Below are 9287 nucleotides of genomic sequence, written 5' to 3'. Positions count from 1 at the left end.
AGTATCTTACTTATAAGCCAATTTTGGTAAACACAACATATAACAATAAGTGTACATGTAAATATCTAGACATGTATACATACACATAGATGATGATCCAATAGCTTGGAACCTTAGCCATGAGATAGCAATACAAAGTTGCCAGTTTTACTTTGTCCTAAAAGATAATCCAATGAAGGCTGTGAACCAAAATTTTGGGAAAGCAGTCTCCATTGGCAGTTTGTATTTTATTTTATTATCTTTTTTTTTTTGAGATGGAGTCTCACTCTATTGCCCAGAATGGAGTGCAGTGGTGTGATCTTGGTTCACTGCAACCTCCACCTCCCAGGTTCAAGTGATTCTCCTGCCTCAGCCTCCCCAGTAGCTGGGATTACAGGTGGATGCCACCATGCCTGGCTAATTTTTGATTTTTTAGTGAAGACAAGGTTTCACCATGTTGGTCAGTCTGGTCTCAAACTCCTGACCTCAAGTGATCTGCCCACCTCAGCCTCCAAAAGTGCTGGGATTACAGGCATCAGCCACCACCCACCACACCCTGCCTGCAGCTTGCTTTTTATTTATTTGTTTTTTAATTTATTATTATTATTATACTTTAAGTTCTGGGGTAGATGTGCAGAACATGCAGGTTTGTTACATAGGTATACACGTGCCATGGTGGTTTGCTGTGCTCATCAACCCCTCATCTACATTAGGTATTTCTCCTAATGCTATCTCTCCCCTAGCCCCCCACACCCCCCACCCCGCCCCACCGAACAGGCCCCAGCATGTGATGTTCCCCTCTCTGTGTCCACGTGTTCTCATTGTATAACTCCCACTTATGAATGAGAATATGCAGTGTTTGGTTTTCTGTTCTTGTGTTAGTTTGCTGAGAATGATGGTTTCCAGCTTTATCCATGTCCCTGCAAAGGACATGAACTCATCCTTTTTTGTGACTGCATAGTATTCCATGGTGTATATGTGCCACATTTTCTTTATCCAGTCTATCATTGATGGGCATTTGGGTTGGTTCCAAGTCTTTGCTATTGTGAATAGTGCCGCAATAAACATACATGTGCATGTGTCTTTATAGTACAATGATTTATAATCCTTTGGGTATATACCCAGTAATGGTATATTGCTGGGTCAAATGATATTTCTGGTTCCAGATCCTTGAGGAATAATCACACTGTCTTCCACAATGGATGAACTAATTTAAACTCCCACCAAGAGTGTAAAAACATTCTTATTTCTCCACATGCTCTCCAGCATCTGTTGTTTCCTGACTTTTTAATGATCACCACTCTAACTGGCGTGAGATGGTATCTCATTGTGATTTTGATTTGCATTTCTCTAACGACCAGTGATGAGCATTTTTTCATGTTTGTTGGCTGCATAAATGTCTTCTTTTGAGAAGTGTCTGTTCATATCCTTTGCCCACATTTTGATAGAGTTTGCTTTTTTTCTTGTAAATTTAAGTTCTTTCTAGATTCTGGATATTAGCCCTTTGTCAGATGGATAGATGGCAAAAATTTTCTCCCATTCTGTAGGTTGCCTGTTAACTCTGATGATAGTTTCTTTTGCTGTGCAGAAGCTCTTTAGTTTAATTGGATCTCATTTGTCAATTTTGGCTTTTGTTGCCCTTGCTTTTGGTGTATTAGTTGTGAAGCCTTTGCCAATGCCTATGTCCTGAATGGTATTGCCTAGGTTGTCTTCTAGGGTTTTTATGGTTTTTGGTCTTACATTTAAGTCTTTAATACATTTTGAGTTAATTTTTGTATAAGGTGTAAGGAAAGGGTCCAGTTTCAGTTTTCTGCATATGGCTAGCTAGTTTTCCCAACACCATTTATTAAATAGGGAATCCTTTCCCCATTGCTTGTTTGTTTTTGTCATGTTTGTCAAAGATCAGATGGTTGTAGATGTGTGGTGTTATTTCTGAGGCCTCTGTTCTGTTCCATTGTTCTATATATCTGTTTTGGTACAAGTACCATGCTGTTTTCGTTATTGTAGCCTTGTAGTATAGTTTGAAGTCAGGTGGCATGATACCTCCAGCTTTGTTCTTTTTGCTTAGGATTGTCTTGGCTATGCAGTCTCTTTTTTGGTTCCATATGAAATTTAAAGTAGTTTTCTCTAATTCTGTGAAGAAAGTCAAAGTTATCTCAACGGGGATAGCATTGAATCTATAAATTACTTTAGGCAGTATGGCCATTTTCACAATGTTCTTTCTATCCATGAGCATGGAATGTTTTTCCTTTTATTTGTGTCCTCTCTTATTTCCTTGAGGAGTTGTTTGTAGTTCTCCTTGAAGAGGTCCTTCACATCCCTTGTAAGTTGTATTCCTAGGTATTTTATTCTGTTTGTAGCAATTGTGAATGGGAGTTCACTCATGATTTGGCTCTGTTTGTTATTGGTGTATAGGAATGATTGTGATTTTTGTACGTTAATTTTGTATCCTGAGACTTTGCTGAAGTTGCTTATCAGCTTAAGGAGATTTTGGGCTGACATGATAAGGTTTTCTAAATATACAATCATGTCATCTGCGAACAGAGACAATTTGACTTCCTCTTTTCCTATTTAAATACCCTTTATTTCTTTCTCTTGCCTGATTGCCTTGGCCAGAACTTCCAATACTATGTTGAACAGGAGTGGTGAGAGAGGGCATCCTTGTCTTGTGCCAGTTTTCAAAGGTAATGCTTCCAGTTTTTGCCCATTCAGTATGATAGTGGCTGTGGGTTTGTCATAAATAGCTCTTATTATTTTGAGATACGTTCCATCGATACCTAGTTTATTGAGAGTTTTTAGCATGAAGGGGTGTTGAATTTTGTCAAAGGCCTTTTCTGCATCTATTGAGATAATCATGTGGTTCTTGTCATTGGTTCTGTTTAAGTGATGGATTATATTTATTGATTTGTGTATGTTGAACCAGCCTTGCATCCAAGGGATGAAGCTGACTTGATCATGTTGGATAAGCTTTTTGATGGGCTGCTAGATTCAGTTTGCTAGTATTTTATTGAGGATTTTCCTATACATGTTTGTCAGGGATATTGGCCTGAAATTTTCGTTTTCTGTCGTGTCTCTGCCAGGTTTTGGTATCAGGATGATGCTGGCCTCATAAAATGAGTTAGGGAGGATTCCCTCTTTTTCTATTGTTTGGAATAGTTTCAGAAGGAATTGTACCAGCTACTCTTTGTACCTCTGGTAGAATTTGGCTGTGAATCCATCTGGTCCTGGACTTTTTTTGGTTGGTAGGCTATTAATTACTGCCTCAATTTCAGAACTTTTTATTGGTCTATTCAAGGACCTGACTTCTTCCTGGTTTAGACTTGGGAGGATGTATGTGTCCAGGAATTTATCCATTTCTTCTAGATTTTCTAGTTTATTTGCGTAGAGGTGTTTACAGTATTCTCTGATAGTAGTTTGTATTTCTGTGGGATCGGTGGTGATATCCCCTTTATCATTTTTTATTGTGTCTATTTGCTTCTTCTTTCGTTCTTTACTAGTCTGGCTAGCAGTCTATTTTGTTGATCGTTTAAAAAAATCGCCTCCTGGATTCATTGATTTTTTTTTTTGAAGGGTTTTTTCACGTCTCTATCTCCTTTAGTTCTGCTCTGATCTTAGTTGTTTCTTGTCTTCTGCTAGCTTTTGAATTTGTTTGCTCTTGCCTCTCTTGTTCTTTTAATTGTGATGTCAGGATGTTGATTTTAGATCTTTCCTGGTTTCTCTTGTGGGCATTTAGTGCTATAAATTTCCCTCTAAACATTGCTTTAAATGTGTCCCAGAGATTCTGGTAAGTTGTGTCTTTGTTCTCACTGGTTTCAAAGAACATCTTTATTTCTGCCTTAACTTTGTTATTTACCCAGTAGTCATTCAGAAGCAGGTTGTTCAGTTTCCATGTAGTTGAGCGGTTTTGAGCAGGTTTCTTAATCCTGAATTCTAGTTTGATTGCACTGTGGTCTGAGATACTGTTTCTTATGATTTCTGTTCTTTTGCATTTGCTGAGAAGTATTTTACTTCTAATTATGTGGTCAATTTTATAATAAGTGCAATGTGGTGCTGAGAAGAATGTATATTCTATTGATTTGGGGTGGAGAGTTCTGTAGATGTCTATTATGTCTGCTTGATCCGGATCTGAGTTATCTTTATTGTTTTTCTATCTTGTTGATCTAATATTCACAATGGGGTATTAAAGTGTCCACTATTATTGTGTGGGAGTGTAAGTCTCTTTTTAGGTCTCTAAGAACTTGCTTTATGTATCTTGGTGCTGCTGTATCGGGTGCATATATATTTAAGATAGCTCTTCTTGTTGCATTGATCCCTTTACCATTATGTAATGACCATCTTTGTCTCTTTTGATCTTTGTTGGTTTAAAGTCTGTTTTATCAGAGACTAGGTTTGCAACCCCTGCTTTTTATTTTTTTCCATTCTTGGTGAATATTCCTCCATCCCCTTGTTTTGAGCCTATGTGTTTCTTTGCATGTGAGATGGGTCTCCTGAATACAGCACACCGATGGGTCTTGACTCTTTATCCAATTTGTCAGTCTGTGTCTTTTAATTGGGGCATTTAGCCTATTTACAATTAAGGTTATTATTTTTATGTGTGAATGTGATCCTGTCATTATGATGTTAGCTGGTTATTTTGCCCGTTAGTTGATGCAATTTCTTCATAGTGTCGATGGTCTTTACAGTTTGGCATGTTTTTGCAGTGGCTGGTACCAGGTGTTTCTTTCCATGTCTAGTGCTTCCTTCAGGGGCTCTTGTAAGGAAGGCCTGGTGGTGACAAAGTCTGTCAGCATTTGCTTGTCTGTAAAGGATTTTATTTCTCCTTCACCTATGAAGCTTAGTTTGGCTGGATGTGAAATTCTGGGTTGAAAATTCTTTTCTTTAAGAATGTTGACTATTGGCCCCCACTCTCTTCTGGCTTATAGGGTTTCTGTAGAGAGATCCTCTTTTAGTCTGATGGGCTTCCCTTTGTGGGTAACCCAGCCTTTCTCTCTGGCTGTGCTTAACACTTTTTCCTTCATTTCAACCTTGATGAATCTGGTGATTATGTGTCTTGTGATTGCTCTCCTTGAGGAGTATCTTTGTGGTGTTCTGTGTATTTCCTGAATTTGAATGTTGGCCTGTCTTGCTAGGTTGGGGAAGTTCTCCTGGACAATACCCTGAAGAGTGTTTTCCAACTTGGTTCCATTCTCCCCGTCACTTTCAGGTACACCAATCAAATGTAGATTAGGTCTTTTCACATAGTCCTATTTTCTTGGAGGCTTTGTTCATTCCTTTTCATTCTTTTTTCTCTAATCTTGTCTTCATGCTTTATTACATTAAGTTGATTTTGAATCTCTGATATCCTTTCTTCCACTTGATTGATTCAGCTATTAATACTTGTTTGTGCTTCTCAAAGTTCTCGTGCTATGTTTTTCAGCTCCATCAGGTCATTTATTTTCTTCTCTAAGCTAGTTGTTCTAGTTAGCAATTCATATAACCTTTTTTCAAGGTTTTTTGCTTCCTTGCATTGGGTTAGAACATGCTCCTTTAGCTCGGGGGAGTTTGTTATTACCGACCTTCTGAAGCCTATTTCTTTCACTTGATCAAACTCATTCTCCATCCAGTTTTGTTCCCTTGCTGGCAAGGAGTTATGATCCTTTGTAGGAGAAGAGGCATTCTGGTTTTTGGAATTTTCAGCCTTTTTGCGCTGGATTCTCCCTATCTTCGTGGATTTATCTACCCTTGGTCTATGTTGGTGACCTCCAGATGGGGCCTCTGAGTGGATGTCCTTTTTGTTGATGTTGATGCTATTCCTTTCTGTTTGTTAGTTTTCCTTCTAACAGTCAAGCCCCTCTGCTGCAGGTCTGCTGGAGTTTGCTGGAGGTCCACTCCAGACCCTGTTTGCCTGGGTATCACCAGCAGAGGCTGCAGAACAGCAAAGATTGCCGCCTGTTCCTTCCTCTGGAAGCTTCGTCCCAGAGGGGCACATGCCAGATGCCAGCCAGAGCTCTCCTGTATGAGGTGTCTGTCAGCCCCTACTGGGAGGTGTCTCCCAGTCAGGAGACATGGGGGTCAGGTACCCACTTGAGGAGGCAGTCTGACCCTTAGCAGAGCTCGAGCGCTGTGCTGGGAGATCCACTGCTTCTTCAGAGCCATCTGGCAGGGACATTTAAGTCTGTTGAAGCTGCACCCACAGACATCCTTTCCTCTATGTGCTCTGTCCCAGGGAGATGGGGGTATTATCCATAAGCCCCTAACTGGGACTGCTGCCATTTTTTCAGAGATGCGCTACCCAGAGACGAGGCATCTAGAGAGGCAGTCTGGCCACAGAGGCTTGGCTGAGCTGTGGTGGGCTCCACCCAGTTCGAACTTCCTGGCAGCTTTGTTTACACTGTGAGGGTAAAACCACCTACTCAAGCCTCAGTAATGGCAGATGTCCCTCCCCTCACCCAAGCTCGAGCATCCCAGTTCGACCTCGGACTGCTGTGCTGGCAGCGAGAATTTCAAGCCAGTGGATCTTACCTTGCTGGGCTCTGTGGTGGTGGTACCCACGGAGCCAGACCACTAGGCTCCCTGGCTTCAGCCGCCTTTCCAGGCGAGTGAACGGTTCTGTCTCGCTGGTGTTCCAGGCGCCACTGGGGTATGAAAAAAAAAAAAAAAACTTCTGCAGCTAGCTCCGTGTCTGCCCAACTGGCTGCCCAGTTTTGTGCTTGAAACCCAGGGCCCTGGTGGTGTAGGCACCCGAGGGAATCTCCTGGTCTGCGGGTTGTGAAGACCATGGGAAAAGCACAGTATCCGGGCCGGAGTGCATGGCTCTTCACGGCACAGTCCCTCACGGCTTCCCTTGGCTAGGGGAGGGGATTCCCTGACCCCTTGAGCTTCCTGGGTGGCGCAACACCCCTCCCTGCTTCGGCTTGCCCTCCATGGGCTGCACCCACTGTCCAACCAGTCCCAGTGAGATGAACTAGGTACCTCAGTTGGAAATGCAGAAATCACCCACCTTCTGCGTCGCTCTCGCTGGGAGCTGCAGATGGGAGCTCTTCCTATTTGGCCATCTTGCCAGCAATCTCTGCAGTTCGCTTTTTAAAGGCCAAACCTCCCCAGACTCCAAAGAACACTGGGGCCAAACCATACCAAAGGAGGTCATCACATGTTAACCAGGCCCCCTGCTTAGAACTGCAGCACAAAAGCCTGGATACATGCAACACTATTCTACTTTCCCATTCAACAGTGAACTCCAGATTCCAAACAATGTTGGGGCCAAATGCCAAACAGCATTGCAACTGTGAGAGATGATTCTAAGGAGGGCTTAATACTACACTTCAGAACCTCTGCCAAGAGCATCTTCTTTGGAGTGGTTGCGGTTCGCAGAACCCGTGGAATGTCCTCCTGTGGGGTCCAATCTTAGAGTTCCTGATGTCTCTGGCCTTAGGTGGGCACCACATGCAGGTTTTTCCCTCCAGAAAATACTGTGAGCTTTATAAAAATAACCATGAACTATAATGTGAAGCGGATGCCTGGTGGGCTTTTTTGTCCTTAGCCAATTGAGTATGATAAAGGAAGAATTTAGCATAAGAAAAGAAGGTTTAAGTCCCCTGAAACATGTGTGAGTTTGCTCTAAGCTGTGCCTCACATAGGGATCAGGGGCCACCCCCAGAAAAGATTTTTAAAAAGTCCTTCTCCCTTCAGGGCAGGACAATTATTCCTGTTCATTCCTAGCCCTTCAGGTAGGACCAGGGAGTAATCCCAGCCAATTGCCCTCAATTTCCAAGGAGCTATTAGCAAACAGCTGCTCAAAGACTGAAAAGAGAGGGGAAAAAAAACATGAAAAATACCCAGGTTCCTTAAGCAAACCAGGCGGTGGTGGTCAGGCTCCTCCACAGGGAACCCCCTTAGTTTCACTGGCCACTGCCAGAAACCAGCAGTTGCTTCCATGTTTAGGCGCCGCCCACCAAGGGTCCCGGGTTGGAAAGAAAAAGAGAGAGAGACTCCCCTGTATGGAGCAGAAAGGAAAAGGAGAAAAAAGAATAAATCCCAAACTTTGGGCTTACCTCTTCCTCCTGGCTGGCTCGCCAAAGTATGTTAACGGTGGAGGAGGGCGTCCAGGTTCTTGGCATACTGAACAAAGAATTGGATGTAACACACAAACAAAGAAAGGAAGCAATAATAAAGGGTATTATTGAAAATGAAAGTACACTCCACAGTGTGGAAGCGGGCCTGAGCATAGGGGCTCCATGGCCCCATTACAGAATTTTTGAGAGTTTACCCCCTATGATTCCATTGGTTACTTCTGGTATGTAACCAGTGGAATGTAGCCCTATGTATGGAGAGGATGTAGCCCTATGTAAATGGAGCCCTATGTAAATGGGGTATGTAGCCCTATGTAAATGGAGTATGTACATACATGGGGTATGTAACCCTATGTAAATGGAGAGGATGAAGTAAAGTTACAAAGTCATTTATGGCATATGCCCTATGGAGAGGATATTTCCTGTTATAGCTGAAGTGTAAATCGGCCTATTTTCTGGCCTCCAGACCCTATTTTCCTGCCTCACTTCCATGGGCTGGAGCCCAGACATGAATGATTTCAGCTCCAAAATTGGACTACAGTAATTCTGGATTGCTAATGACCCCAAGTGCCTGCACATGTTAGGGAGGGGGAGTGGAGGAATATAAAAACTGTCTCCTAATTTGATAAAGTGTATCTACAAAAAACTTATCCCAAACATTAACCTTATTGGTAATGTTGAAAACATTCCCATTGATATCAGGAACAAAACACTAGTACCCACCATTAGCACTACTGTTCTACAATATACTGAAGTTCATGTCCAGTGCAATGTATCGAGTAAAAGAGATATGAATAAAGTTGGGAAGAAAGAAAAAAATTATTGTATAGTAAGGAATTTGTCTTCCAAAGAGAGGTCTGGCCTTTGCCCCGCCTCCTGGTAGGTAGGTAACCTCTAAATACTTGGAATTTCCTGAATGGTAAGGATGTCCTTGTTATTTGTGATGGGCCCCTCAGACCTCACTTTATAGTTTATATACTAATGAGATGATTCATATCAGCCTATCCTCTGTGGAGACGTGGCTAGAGATTGAGTTCAGCCACATGGACAATGATTCCATTGATCACGCCTGTGCAATGAAGCCCCAGTATAACTTCTGGTCACAGAAGCTCAGGTTAGATTCCCTGGTTGGCAGCACTCTGTGCACATCGTCACATATGGTCAGAAGGAGGTAATGCCATCCATGTGAGAACCCAAAGGGGGAAGACAGCCAGAAGCTCCACACCTTCTCACACCCTGCCTTCTCTGTCTCTTCCTTTG

The 9287-nt window shown here is 42.4% G+C and overlaps 2 annotated features.

Annotated features, from left to right (window-relative positions):
- Window positions 7241-7910: an enhancer, noted in NCBI's record as "OCT4-NANOG-H3K27ac-H3K4me1 hESC enhancer chr1:242749057-242749726 (GRCh37/hg19 assembly coordinates)". NCBI's record gives its function as "activates a minimal SCP1, AML or CMV promoter by ChIP-STARR-seq in primed H9 embryonic stem cells {active_cell/tissue: H9 hESC(primed)}" and the evidence as "EXISTENCE:reporter gene assay evidence [ECO:0000049][PMID:30033119]".
- Window positions 7911-8580: an enhancer, noted in NCBI's record as "NANOG-H3K27ac hESC enhancer chr1:242748387-242749056 (GRCh37/hg19 assembly coordinates)". NCBI's record gives its function as "activates a minimal SCP1, AML or CMV promoter by ChIP-STARR-seq in naive H9 embryonic stem cells {active_cell/tissue: H9 hESC(naive)}" and the evidence as "EXISTENCE:reporter gene assay evidence [ECO:0000049][PMID:30033119]".

Source organism: Homo sapiens, chromosome 1 (assembly GCF_000001405.40).
Source record: "Homo sapiens chromosome 1, GRCh38.p14 Primary Assembly".
In the NCBI taxonomy this organism is placed as follows: domain Eukaryota; kingdom Metazoa; phylum Chordata; class Mammalia; order Primates; family Hominidae; genus Homo; species Homo sapiens.
The sequence above is the reverse complement of the archived record's forward strand: the minus strand, read 5'-3'. Positions and strand labels throughout refer to the sequence as shown.